The following is a 14483-nucleotide window of genomic DNA, read 5'->3' as shown; positions in this document are numbered from 1 at the left end:
CTCCTTTAAAAATATGAGTCAGGCGCGGTGGCTCACACCTGTAATCCCAGCACTTTGGGAGGCCGAGGAGGGCAGATCACGAGGTCAGGAGATCAAGACCATCCTGGTTAACATGGTGACACCCTGTCTCTACTAAAAATACAAAAAAAAATTAGCCGGGTGTGGTGGCAGGCGCCTGTAGTCCCAGCTACTTGGGAGGCTGAGGCAGGAGAATGGAGTGAACCCAGGAGGCGGAGCTTGCAGTGAGCCGAGATCGCGCCACTGCACTCCAGCCTGGGTGACAGAGTGAGACTCCATCTCAAAAAAAAAAAAAAAAAAAAAAAAAAAAAAAATGGGTCAAATCATGATTCTTGGCTGCTGTAAAGTTTCAAACGGGTTCTCATTCCCTGTTATTACAGTGGTCTCAGGCTCCACCTAATCTGCCTTCTTTTGCCTCACCTACTCTCCAACCTCAGCTTCTCCAACTGTCCCGCTTGTGTGCTCCAGCCTTAAGGGCCTCTGACTGTTTTCTGACTAAGCCAGACATGTTGAGCTACACGGACTTTGCATTGTTCAGTTCCTCTGCCTGGAATACACCTCCCCTAAATTTCCGTATGGCTTGCTTCCAAACCCCCACATTTCCATATGGCTTGCTTCCTAACCTCAAAGGATCTTTTCTCAGATGTTACCTTACCAGAGAGATGTTCTCTGACTTCCCCAGTCAAAATTGCATACCATCTTTTTTGGCTTCTGTGTCTGCATTCCTTCTTGTTTTTCTCACTCATTTATAGAATGCCCCCTCCTGCCAGAATATTAAATTGTTGGGGGCAGGGATTGTTGTCTGTTTTGCTCACTCCTGTATCCTCAGGGCCTAGAATAATCCCTGGCATATAGACATTCTGTAGTATTTATTCAATGAATGAATGAATGAATGATATCTACTTCATTGAGCTGTGGGGATTCAGTTAGATCAGGGGTCCACAGCTTATAGCTGCCTGTTTTATAAATAACGTTTTATTGGACAAGCCATATCCATTATTTATGTATTGTCTGTGGCTGATTTTGTACTGTAACAGCAGATTTGAGTGTTTGTAAGAGAGGCCTGCAAAGCCTAAAATATTTATTGTCTGACCCTTTACAGAAGAGGTTTGTTGATTCCTATATTAAATGATATGCGCCAAGCACTTAGCACGATGCTTGGTACACAGAGAGGACCGAAAATGGTAACCTCAGCTGCAGGTGTTGTAGGTTTTATTACTGTTGTTATTATCAATAGGACAGTGTGCAGTTGCCCCAAAAGATATACTACTTTTATAGTTATCTGCTCTATGACTTTTTATATTACCAACTTAGAAATTTTTCGTTTGTGCTGTGCATTCTGCCACAATTTGAGCCAATAAGTAACTAGTTGAGAAATGAATAAATTACCCATCATAGTTTGGTAACAAGTTGGAAAACATGGAAGCTGTGTTCAAACAGCTAGCAAGGGGCAGCTCTGCTGGATGTGGATCTGAGCAGTCGGGCTCGGTTGTCTGTTTGCAATCCTAATGTGTTCTCCATACTGCCTCTTGCTATTTTTTGAATAAATGAATGTATGTTGAGGCTTACTAGTTTTAAGCTGCCTTTTAGCATAATTTGTAGTGTCCTGAAGTTTAAATGATGTCATGATAACTAATTATTTTTTAATATTCCAGGGAATAATAAGTCACAAAGGGAGGAGCTGGACTCCATCCTCTTCCTTTTTGAAGTAAGTTTTGATGAGTTTATTTAGCTTTTATAATTCTTGTTGGAAATAAAGTATTTTTGATCTTTAATTTTATTTGAAGACAAATAAAAATGGCTGTTGGTGGACATATATTTTTTTCTTTCCTTCCTTCCTCCCACCCTCCCACTTTTACAAACTGTGCTACAAATAATTTTCTCGTGATTTTCTTTTTTTGCAAGCATGTGTGATAGTTTTTCCTGTATGGGTACCTAGATGTGAAATTATTAGATGGAGGAGTACACACATCTTAAATAGTAGCAGATATTGCTGAATTGCTCTCCAAAAGGTCATATATTCACACTGAGAAACTGCCCTGTAAAAAATAAAAAAATTTAAAAACCCAAAAATGTTATATAAACTGATATGTAAGTCTTATGTAAATTTCCTATACTCTAACATTAGAGATGATTCGTCTCATATATATAAATACATATATATATAAATCTGACATGCAAAAACTTTTTTTGATATATATTTTTCTACTAGTGAGGTTATGATCTTTATGCATCTGTATATCTGTGTGCATTGATCATATCTTCAAAGTTGAAACAATGTTTGGGTGTGGTTTTTGACTTATTAAGCTTAAAGTCTTTCTTGTCCAAATGTATTAGATAAGTGGCCAGATTACGGGTACCTGGAGAACACACTCAGAACTGAATTATAGGTTCCGAAAGTTAATTGTTGGTTTTTTAGAAATTATTTGTGGTTTGAGAGGTGTAGGCTTAGGTTAGTGTGAGAAGATAAACTTTTATAGCTGTAAAGGAAAGGCCTAATGTGAGCAGGTGCAGAGCTGGCTGGAGGGCAAAGCACTGTAGGAAAGATCTCCTACAGTAGGAGAGTTCTCCAGGGCCTTATGGTGAGGGGCTTTCTGAGTTTATGGAAAAAAAACAAGATATGGGAAACTTCCTGCCCAGGACTTGGCTTCATGGCTAGTGCTCAATAGCCCTGGTTCCCCTTTCTCTCCTTTGAGAGCTATACTCCTTTCCCAGAGTACAGATGTTGATTCGCTATTGATACACATATGTTGATACACATATTCTGTAGTGGTTATTATGTTTCCTGTGTTTACCGTCCTTTGAATGAAACCTGTGAAATGAGTTGTTTTTAACAGGAGCTTTAATTAAGTGTGTTACTTAAATATGTATCTACTGACCATCATTTGTTTGTACTATTTTATCAACTTAATTATATTATTTATGTAATGGTTAAAGAATCTATAACATATGTAAGTTAGGAAGCATGGTAATAAAGCACATACTCTTGACACCCTCCCCCTTCACCATTTTAGGAACTAAAAGCTACTTAGGTGCTCTTCCACCATCCTTTTTCACCTCTGTGACAGTAACTCCCCTGCATTTTATCATTCTCTTTCTTTTAAAAAATGGCTTTGCCACACATATTTGTACCCTTAAATAATTTCTTGTGTGGTTTTGTTTTGTTTTGAGTGTAATAGAAATGATCTCCTATGGTACATAATCACCTTCGACATGCTTTTTACCCTCAACATTAATTCTAAGATTTATCCATGTTTTTAAATTTAGTTCATGTTTATTCAGTCCCACTGCTGGATTAAGTAAATATATGTGACTTGTTTAATTCCTACATTTTGTCTACAGGTTTTTTGTTTTCTTGGTAGACAGATTGTCTATGAGTAAGGAGTGGACATACTTGCCAGTTGGTCTGCTTTCCGCCCTGAGTCAGCCTTCCAGTACATTGGTAAATGGAAGTGATAAAGGGTCATCTTGTTTTTGATCTAAAGAGAGTTTTGTTAATGTGAAATATTAAGAGTAATATTCTCTGTAACTTTTTGGTAGATTCTCTATCAAATTAAATAACTTTGTTTCTATTCCTAGTTTGAGATTTATTTAAAAAATCATAGATGGGTTTTGAAGTTTTTAAATTTTTTCTTGAAAAAACTTGATTGAGATGATAATGATTCTTCTTGAGTATTAATATGGTGAATTACAGTTCTAGATTTTTGGATGGACTAATTACTATTACTATTATTATTATTATTATTATTATTATTTGAGTCAGGGTATTGCCCAGGCTGGAGTACAGTGGTGTGAACATAGCTCACTGTAGCCTTGACCTCCTGGGCTCAAGTGATCCTCCTGCCTCAGCCTCCTGAGTAGGTGGGACTACACGTGTGCATCACGATGCCCAGCTAATTTTTTTTCTTTTTAATTTGTTGTAGACATAGGGTCTCCCTATGTTGTCTAGGCTGGTCTCAAACTCCAGGGCTCAAGTGATCTTCCTGCCTTGGCCTCCTGAAGTTGTGGGATTATAGGCATGAGGCACTGCACCCAGCCTGGACTAATATTTTGTTTGCATTTTTGGATCTCTGTTCACAGCTGAGGTTGGCCTCAGTTTTTCTTTCTCATACTCATGTTGTTTTTGACTGGTCCTGTGGTAATGGTTATAAAACCTGTTGTCAAGCATTTCTTCTTTCTCTGTTATATAACATAGTTCTATAAGATTGGAATGAGCTGTCATTGAAATGTTTTTTTTACCTTTCCTATAAAACCACCTGCAACTGGGGTGCTTTTTTTACTTATGTGAAGATTTTAACCACTCATTCAATTTCTTTGATAGTTTTAGACTTGTTTTAGTATTATTCATATTTTCTGGTTTTTTTTTCTTGATTCAAGTTTGGTAAGTTATATATTTTTCTAAGAATTTGAAGAATTCTGAGGATTTGTTCTTATCACCAAAGTTTTAAAATGTATTGGCAAAGAAGCATCTCTTTGGAGAGTCATAATCCCTTCAGTTTTATCTCCATTAGCTTGGTCTTTATTGTCTTCAAGCAGTTTTTATATTACACACCCTAGTAGTAGTGGTGGTGGTGTTGGTAATAGTAGTAGTAGTAGTGTTTGTGCCACATTTTTACTATCTTCTAGTTGCCATTGTAGCAGCTTTAAACTCTGTTTTTGGTGTAATTGTTGTTCCTTTAAATGTCTTTTCTTTCTGGCTTCTTTTTTTTCATTTTTTTAAATTTTATTTTTATTTTTATTTTTATTTTTTATTTTTTTAAAGATGGAGTCTTTCTCTGTCGCCCAGGCTGGAGTTCAGTGGTGCGATCTCAGCTCACTGCAAGCTCCGCCTCCCGGGTTCATGCCATTCTCCTGCCTCAGCCTCCCAGGTAACTGGGACTACAGGTGCCCGCCACCACACCCAGCTAATTTTTTTGTATTTTTAGTAGAGACGGGTTTTCACCGTGTTAGCCAGGATGGTCTTGATCTCTTGACCTTGTGATCCGCCCACCTCAGCCTCCCAAAGTATTGGGATTACAAGGCGTGAGCTACTGCACCCAGCTGCTTCTTTTAAGATCTTTTGTGTCTGTTGTTCTACAGTTTAATTACAAAATATCTAGTTGAAGATTTCTTATCTTGCTTGGTATATGTATGTTTCTCAAGTCTCTGGATTCATATGTTTTATAGTTCTCTAACATTCTTAGCTATTGTCTTCTCAAATATTGATAAGTTTCTGTTCATTCTGGCCATACTTTCTAGGATTCTTACTTAAACTTGTTGATCTATCCTCTCTGTTTCTTAAGCTTGCTTTTATTTTCTCCTCCCGCAATCTGTTTGTGTTGCATTCTGGGAAGTCTCTTCAGTTGTTTCTTCCAGTTCACTAACTCCCTTCGTTTGGAACAAATCTGCTACTTTACCAATCTATTGAGCTGTACATTTCAATGATTTTTTTCATGTTTTTAACAGCTTTTTTGGTTTGGCATTCTTATGTGGCTGGTTGCTTTCGATTGTCTCTTGATCCTCGTTCATTTTTAGACATCTTTTATTTTATTAAACATTTACTGTGTAATATTTCATATTTTGTAGATGATAATCCTAGTAGCTTAAGTGTTTGTCTAATTATGCTGGTTATTTCAGCTGCCTCTCATTCACAGTGGCTTCTTTTTTTGCATATTTTGTGATATTTGATTTTGAGAGTGGTACTGAATGACCACAGATTTCACATTTGTTAATCCTGGTTTCTCCCAGAGGATTTGTCTTTGCTTTTGCCGGGAGTCTGGGAATGCTCTTGATTGAGAGCACTTTAGCTCCATTTGAGGGTTCTGGTTTATGAATGGAAATTCAGGTTCAGTTCCCTAAACTTACCATAGCTGGGAACTGGGGGCTGGAGGGGATAGTCACCTGTAAATCCTAGCGCTGGTGTTGGCATCAGCTCCTTGGCATTCTGCAGTTTTTTCTTTTGCATGTTGCTTACAGATCAGGTTTTGGCTTACTTGTCTTCTGCCTCCTTTCTTCTTCCCTCTTTGCTCCTCCTTCTTCCCCCACCATTTTTTAGTCCCTTGTTAGTTTCTCTGTGTTCTTCAAAGCCCAGCAATGTTTTAAGAATTACATTTGTTGTCATGGATCCATTGGCCTGCAGCAGGAAAGCCCTTCAGAGACTCTAGACCTATCCCTCTCACAGAAGTTTTGATACTTTCTCTTCATGTTCTTAAATTCTAGACTAGGGAGGGTGTTAATACTGATACATTACCATTTACAGAGGATTAGTTGCCTGTATAATAGAACAAATATATATTGTTCAAGGCTTCATAAAACTTTCATTTTGCATGGTAAATATGAGTGAATAATAAACTTGCATTACTTTTGTTTATGCTTATGTTCCCTCTGTCTCTGGCTTTAGAAGGTAGGTTGTAATTTGTATGTTTCATTCTGGGTACTAAGTAACTTCGTTGCTGCTTTGTAGGATAGTGCCCTGTAAAGCTTGTAAAGAGATAGTTTATAAGGGTTTGGAAGTGAATACTTACCACTTTGTAAATAATTAGGAAAGGCTCCCTTGAGAAGAGGTGGAATTAATAAGATGTGTTAAATCACAAAAGCGATACCATGTAGAGATATTCTATAAATAAGAAATGGCTTGGAAGAAAGCATAGAGGTAAGAGATAAGAAGGCATGAAAGAGGAGTATGTAAAGAGAGCTGCTGTCTGCCTTGTAAGTCAGGGATGCACTGAAAGGGAACCTTGGAAAAGGAAACAGTAGTTTTTAGATGTAGAGTATTGGAGACATTACAGTATTCTGATAAAGTAAGTGATGTGCAGTGAAGGCCACCAGCCAGTCCAGGTCATGGTCTCAGGCAGTGAGCAGACCTTTTTGCCTGCCTTCCTCTCTAGTGGGAGCACTTGTACCTTTTGGAAGTTGACTCCAGCTGCCTTTGCCTGTAGCTTCAGATATGTACACCACTTAGAGTTTCTGTTGGTTCATGGAGTTGTTTATCATATTTTTTTTTTTTTTTTTTTTTGAGACGGAGTCTTGCTCTGTCGCCCAGGCTGGAGTGCAGTGGCTTGATCTTGGCTTACTGCAACCTCTACCTTCTGGGTTCAAGCAATTCTTCCTGCCTCAGCCTCCTGAGTAGTTGGGACTACAGGTGCCTGCCACCGTGCCCGGCTAATTGTTATATTTTTTAGTAGAGACAGGGTTTCACCATGTTGGCCAGGCTGGTCTTGAACTCCTGACCTCAGGTGATCCATGTGCCTCGGCCTCACAAAGTGCTGGGATTACAGGCATGAGCCACTATGCCTGGCCTATCATACTTTTTTTTTTTTTTTTACTATGGTTATGACTCTTACTGTACTTTAAAAACCATATTTCATCCATCATTGCTTTGTCTTTCAAATGGAGATGTGGGGATGATGATGTGGGACTCCACAACATGAATTTACATTTACCATCTTAACCGGAATCTACATGTTTTACATGGGCTAGTCTGTTTAATCCTTTCCTTCTGAAGTAGGTTTGGTCTTCCCAGTTTTTATGAATGAAATGTTGGAGGCTTTGTAGGGTTAGGTGACTTGCCCAAGGGTGCACACTTAGTAAATGGGAGAGTAGGGATTTAACCTTTAGTCTAACTCTAGAACCTATTATTCTAACTTACTGGCATGCTGCCTACCACTTAGGAGTGTTGGTATTCTTTCTAAGCTGTATTCCATAGGCTGTCTATATCAACATATACTATTCTTTACAATTCATTTATTCATCAGACACATTTATTAGGTATGCACTGTGTCAGACACACGTAGGTGCTGGAGATACAACAATGAGCAAGGTAGCCAGAGCCTCCCGTCCTCATGGAGTATAAATTACCATTTCGTGGTGAGCGGAAGAGTCTACTGGTAAGAATGAATTCATGTCAGAGCTCCAGTAATGACCTTCTGAATCACAGAAAATCCTGAATGGTTCTTTTCAGAAGTGATATTTTGGTGATGGTTCTTGAATTAGTTACCTGCATAAGGGAAAGGAGAGTTGGTGTAGAAACACAAGGTACTTGGTGAATGGGTCTCAAGATCAAATAATTCACATTGAGAACCTTCTGGATTCAAGCTTGACAGGTTATTTTAATGGTACCTGAGATTCGTTTTAATCAGGTGTGGTAAGGCACAGAAACATGAAAATGATTGTTATGAAGGAAGAAGTTTTAATTATGCTCACAGGCCTCTAGAAACAGACATGTCACACAGAGCCAAACAGGGAAGCACCAAGGCAAAATCAGTACGCAAAGAGGAAAGGGAGCGACAGAGACAGAACTGAGGGCAGGAGCTTTTATTGTGTTTTTTTGCAGGAAGGAATGGGCAAGGCCAGGTAAGTAAACTACATAGGCTTAGGACTGGATAGTTTGAATAATTTCAGCTGACAGGGCTGTAGGGGTAGCTCCTGGTTGTCCAGCACCTGGCCCCTGGATGATTGAGGGGAGGGGGATAGAGTCCATAAAAGGATGTGGTTGGGGTTACGGATTTGGGATTGGTTGGTTTGCATATCAGAAACATGCTCTGAGCCACTATCTTTGGGAATTTGCTAACCCTTGGAGGGGCATCCTTCCTATGTCATTGAGGCCCCAGATGTCAGCACATCAAGAATACAGAGAATAAGACAATATAGTTAATTCAGAGATACTGTTTCAAGCTTTCTGCCATGTTGTATGCCATCCCCTTTTACTAGAGAAATAGAATAGTTTGGAGTTATACATGTATGTTTTAGAAAGTTTATAGAATTTGATATTTCCTCACCCTCCCACACTCCAATTAAAATACATCGACACAAGAGGCTTAATTTCAAAACGTAAACATGTTCTGGCATTGGAGTGCCACTCATTTGGATGTTCTTCAAATATCACAGGATTTGAAATCACAGATAAACAGATTCTTTATTCTAAATTTTATTTAAATTACCCCACTATATTAAACCCTGTTTCTATCTTGTCATTAGCCTTCCTAGAGACCTGAATGAGTTCTTTATAGTCTGTAAAGTGTGGCCCAGGCTGGTCTAACACTCACAGTCCTCTCCCTGGCTCTCAGTGTAGCTCTTCTTCATATTTTGTGGTTACTCTGTGGAAGTGCTCTGTCGGGCTAACACTGCCCCTTTATCTCTCTTTGCATAGTTTCACTTCTGCCTCTTAGTTTATTCAGTTCTCTTTTCAGGGACTGCCCTTAGCTCTTCTCCCCATCTGGCCCATTCTCTCAGGACCTGTTTAGACCCACCAATTTCTCCTGGCAACTCCTGCTGGAAGTGCTCATTCTTTCCTTTGGACTCATATAATAGCCCTGCCTTGTGTTATCATTTGACTGTGGCTGGATATCCATAGTTATCCCTTAATGTGGCTATGCCTTAGTTTCCTAATGAGAGTGTAAAAACTCTAACTCCATGTTTTTTATGTGCATTTTTGTACATATTTTTGAGTGGAAGAGGGACAAGGACATATAAAATGAACAAGAAAAGCAAATTCTTCCAAAGCCAACAACCGTGACTTAACAATCCTTTGTTACTTTTTTCTTTTCTTTTCTTTTCTTTTTTTGAGACACAGTCTCGCTCTGTTGCTCAGGCTGGAGTGCAGTGGCACTATCTTGGTTCACTGCAACCTCCGCCTCATGGGTTCAAGCAATTCTCCTGCCTCAGCCTCCCAAGTAGCTGGGACTACAGGCACCTGCCACCATGCCTGGCTAATTTTTGTATTCTTAGTAGAGATGAGATTTTACCATATTGGTCAGGCTGGTCTCAAACTCCTGGCCTCAGGTGATCCATGTGGCTAGTGGCTACTGTATTGGACAGGGAGGCTCTAGAGTCCTCCAGTAGAGCCGTATCTCATCGTTTGAAAGACCACTTTTCATTGTTAAACATGGTTAAATCCTTAGTATCTTGTACATCTGTATCCTTGTAATGCAGGGGACTTTGACTTAAGGTTTAGGATTTTACTGAAATGGTTTCTCTGGGCTTCTTCTTATTACCAGAGTGCCCTTGGCTGAGGGGAATGAGCATTTACCTCCACAGGTTGGAGAAGCATGGCTCCAAAGTGACCCTCTGCAAACAGAATTGAAAAGCCATGCACAATGTCATTCTACTGTTTTCATGCATTTTTTAAAATGAAAATAATGTTAAATAAAGGCTAGCCAAATTCCTTAGGACTTCATCTCCCCACCACACCTTCAACCTTTCTCCATCTGTTTCCCCTTCAAGATAAAGAAAACAGTTTCAGTGCACTCCAGGATGATGCACCATGTCTCTTTCTCACCCGTCCTTTGGTAGGAGATTCTTATTTGAGAAGCATTGGTGGAAGAGGCAAACTGCAGCAGGTGAACCACACAGCAAGTGCAGATGACATGTGGGTTTCTTCTAGGACATACAGAGAAAGAAAAATAATATTGTGGATGCTAGCTTTTGTTTTTCCTTTGGTATTGAAATTTGATTGCTTGCGATTTATTACACGCCTATATGTACTGACTCCCTTCCTTCTCTGCAGTTTGGTGTTATGCTGGATTGGATGGCTGGACTCAGCATGTGCACAGTCTGGGTGTAGTTATGTTTGGGATTCATAATTTGACCAGTGGTGAATCCAGGGATGTAGTGGAATCTATGTCTTACTTTAATGGAATTCAGCACTGGGTCTCTTGTTCTTCATTGCTCCAGGTGAGCTTATATAGATAGTGGATTTAGCCCCTAATTTTTTTCCTTAGAGTAGGGGAAAAGAATTTTTAATGATTTTCCTGATAATAGTAATATAGCTATATCCAGTACAGTGCCAATAAGATGAAACAAATGGCTGATTTTCACTCTCTGTAGCATTGTTTTGTATATGCAATCCAGTAATTTGAATGTTGATTTTATTTCCCATCCAAATGCATTCATTTATAACTTTTCACATTTAGTAGCACCATTTTACTTCAGATACTAATAGTGAATTGCCTAAAGAAAAACTAGAGTTATGAATATAATAGGATTACAAACAATTCTGAGATTTATTTCCTTTCTTCTTCCTTTCCTTCTCCTCCTCCTCTTTTCCTCCCCCCACCCCTGCCTCCTCCTCTTCTTTTGTGAGAATTGCATATCTTTTGTAACTCTTTGAAAATGAAAACAAATTAAAAGCTCCTGTGGAGGTTCAGTGAAAATGCCTGAACTGAATTCTAGGCAAGTCAACAGATTCAGGCTCGGTGTCCTACAGGATTAAGTAACGATTCCTTTTCTTTCTTTATACAATGGCTAATGGCTTTTCTTATAAGCAAATAATACATAGCAAGGTGGCAGAATCATATTTTTACAATTAACTAGTTGCCACAGTTTCTGCGCTTTTCTCTGCTTTGTTATTTCTTATTCCAGGCTGTCCAGTGTGCAGCCATCCTTCCGTGCTGCTCCCTCCTCCCATGCCGAGGTGAAGGACTTCCTCTACAAACCTCTCAGGCTGATACTGCTTTTTATTTTGTTTCCTGTAAGGGCCACTTCACGGTTTTTGAGTGGAAGAGGGACAAGAACAACTAAAATGAACAAGAAAAGCAGATTCTTCTAAAATCCTTGGAATTTAAGTTCTTATTGAGGATTTCAAATATTTAGATGCTTTAGTAGATTTTGTTTTCTTTTAAAAGAATGATTCCAATTTTGAATGCAGCTCTTTGGTCACTGTCATAATTCTAAATGACTGATTGCAATTGAGAAAAAGCCACTATCAATTCAGATTTTCTGGAGAACATTTTTAAAAGAACTGAGCTGACAAAGACACCCATCTCTCATCCCCAAAGTCTCCCTGAGTTCCAGTTGGCAAAGTGAATGTCTCTAGTTAGCATGACTAAGATTTTGGGTCACATTTATGACATGGGGCTATATTTAAATGATAATAGAGGTGTGTAATCATCTGGCTTTCTTTGTAATGCCAGCCATACTTGTGGCTTTTATTGATGTTGAACCCTTGGTTGGGAACAACTCCAAATGATAACATTATTGTTATGGCATAGTGTGATCTTGCCTTGAGACTGCTCTGCAGGGATCACAGTAGAGGGCCAGGTGGCCAAGGTACCCTTTTTCACTGGTCTCATATGTTGCCTGTGGTGGTGAATTAGCTCTGTAGTTGCTCCTCGGTGCTATCGCCTGTACTGGATACTGGGGAAATAATAAAACATAGGACTGAGATCCTTTATCTCTATAGCATGTGGTTATTCTGGTGTCTGATTTTGATTGTGAAATGTCTATGATCTGTACAAACCGGAAGGTGGGAACAAAATATAAACATGTGGTCCATTTTGGAGATTCTTTGCATGCACTTTTCCTGGTTAAAATGTGATTATCCTATTATAGAATGTTAGTAATTTTAATTAGACAAATGTTTGAGTTGAAAGGAGTCAGTTTCAATGGATAGTTTAATATGCAAATTTAGTATTAAAGACTGCAGTCTCCCTTTTGCATCAAGACTTATAGGTGAGAAACTTGGGATTGACCCAACGGGATATACCAAATTACTCAGTTCACCTTGGAGGAAGGGACACTGGAGATAAGATGTTCGTGGAAGTCTGAAATTACATTCTTGTTGTTATCTGTTGCAGTCCAGGTGCCCTGAGCTTCCTGGCATGCTGGCCTCTTTCACATAGTGTGCCACTTGATGTGTTGGTAACTGACACTCTTAAGAGGAGATCCTGTGGAAGGCAATACTAGCAAAAATGCTTCCAAGAATCTTTTAAGGGCAGATGGTAGAAACTGCATTAGGGCTAAAGATATGGGAAATTCACACTGAAACCTGAGCATGTTTATTTATTGTTAGGATAGCAGGAGACATGTAGAGAGCTTTTTTCTCTTTAATTAAAATTAATCTGTTAATGCAGTTTTGGTAAGTTGATTTTTTTTAAATTAATATATACCTTTAGGAGAGAGTTGTACAAAAACTTGCTATTATAAGTCTATTACTTGTTTTCTGTTTGGATATGTAGTGTGGTGGCTGTTACAGAGTGACATCTAGTGTTTGATGTGGTTTGTGACACTGTACAGGTTGGAAGGGTCTGGCTTGAAGCCTTTGTGCACTGGCTTTTCCTGCAGGCCTTGGGCACTTGCTGAATGAATTTGACAGGGTGGCCAGTCCCAAGACAACCTGCAGGTGTACAATGCTTTCTAATTGTGCTGAGGCAGGAGTTTAAATCCTCTGAATTTATGGGGTGGTGGGAACCAAGTAGTGGCATCTCACTGGGGTTTTGTTATTCTCTACTCATCACTCCTATAGAAACTGTCTTGGAGTGATTTTTTCCCCTAAAACATGGCATAAAACGGATGGCCAACTAGTGCTAGTACCAAAACTGAAGAGATCGGAAAAATGCAGTAGTTTTCAGGCAGAAAATAGAAACTTGCATGAAATGAAGAATAGCATGGCAGATTTGGTTGTGACTGAGATCTCCTGTGTAAGATACTTTTGTGAGAAGAAGACTCCTTTTGAATCTGTTTTAGTGAATGCTTTATTCGGGGCAAAACCCACATATTATGGGTAGAATTATATGCTACTAATTTGGGGATTTGTGAAGGTCACTGAATGTTCGTTCCGTCATTAAAAAAATGAGGAGTCCGGTGCAGTGTGATTTTTTTCTTTAAAAAGAGATTAGACCTTTGCATGATCCTAAGCAAAGAGAAAAAATAACCTTGAAATCTATTAAGTGCTGCCTTTCCAGTTTTTGAAGGTTGCATTTTTTGTACCTAATAAAAAACATTTTGAATATCACATTTTACTACTTAATACGGTAGTCCCCCTTATCTGCAGTTTCACCTTCTGAGGTTTTGGTTACTCGTGGTCAACCAGGGTCCAAAAACATTAAATGGAAAATTAAAGAAATAAACCATTCATAAGTTTTAAATTGCATGCCATTCTGAGTAGTGTGGTGAAATCTCTCACCATCCTGCTCCATTCTGCCTGGGATATGAATCATTCTTTTGTCCAGTGGATCCATGCTGTAGATGCTAGCTAACTGTCAGTCACTTAGCAGTGGTCCTGGTTATCAGATAAACTGTTGTGGTATCACATTGCTTGTGTTCAGGTAACTCTTAATTTACTCAATAATGGCTCCAGGCCAGGCGTGGTGGTTCATGCCTGTAATCCCAGCACTTTGGGAGGCTGAGGCAGGTGGATTGCTTGAGGCCAGGAGTTTGAGGCCAGCCTGGCCAACAGGGTGAAACCTCGTCTGTACTAAAAATACAATAATTAGCTAGGTGTTGTGGTGTGCTCCTGTAATCCCAGCTACTCAGGAGGCTGAGGCTTGAGAATCACTTGAACCCAGGAGGCAGAGATTGTAGTGAGCTGAGATCGCGCCACTGTGCTCCAGCCTGGGTGACAGAGTGAGACTCTGTCTCAAAAATAATAGTAATAATAATAATGGCTCCAAAACACAAGAGTAGTGATGCTGGCAATCAGATATGCCAAAGAGAAGCTGTACAGTGCTTCCTTTAAGTGAAAAGGTGAGCGTTCTTGACTTAATAAGAAA

At 39.2% G+C, this 14483-nt stretch overlaps 1 protein-coding gene across 18 annotated transcripts in view, besides 1 other annotated feature; it reads left to right on the top strand.

The window, feature by feature from the left end:
• Nucleotides 1-14483, top strand: part of RALGAPA2 (Ral GTPase activating protein catalytic subunit alpha 2) — a 323115-nt gene that overhangs the window by 34683 nt on the left and 273949 nt on the right. For 17 of the 18 annotated variants that reach the window (XR_007067471.1, XR_937111.3, XR_007067470.1 and 14 more), the window contains exon 3: nucleotides 1674-1726. The exons of the other annotated variant lie outside the window; for it this stretch is intronic. Coding sequence is in view for 9 of the 17 variants with exons in the window: in XM_005260768.3 (XP_005260825.1) it covers nucleotides 1674-1726 (53 nt within the window). In the remaining 8 variants the exon portion in view is untranslated. The remainder of the gene's footprint in view (nucleotides 1-1673; nucleotides 1727-14483) is intronic. 18 annotated transcript variants of the gene reach the window in all.
• Nucleotides 12900-12959: a silencer, noted in NCBI's record as "silent region_12711". NCBI's record gives its function as "represses an Ori minimal core promoter by ATAC-STARR-seq in GM12878 lymphoblastoid cells {active_cell/tissue: GM12878}" and the evidence as "EXISTENCE:reporter gene assay evidence [ECO:0000049][PMID:35858748]".

The sequence above is a fragment of the Homo sapiens genome, chromosome 20, assembly GCF_000001405.40.
Source record: "Homo sapiens chromosome 20, GRCh38.p14 Primary Assembly".
In the NCBI taxonomy this organism is placed as follows: domain Eukaryota; kingdom Metazoa; phylum Chordata; class Mammalia; order Primates; family Hominidae; genus Homo; species Homo sapiens.
This window is presented reverse-complemented; position numbering and strand designations above follow the sequence as displayed.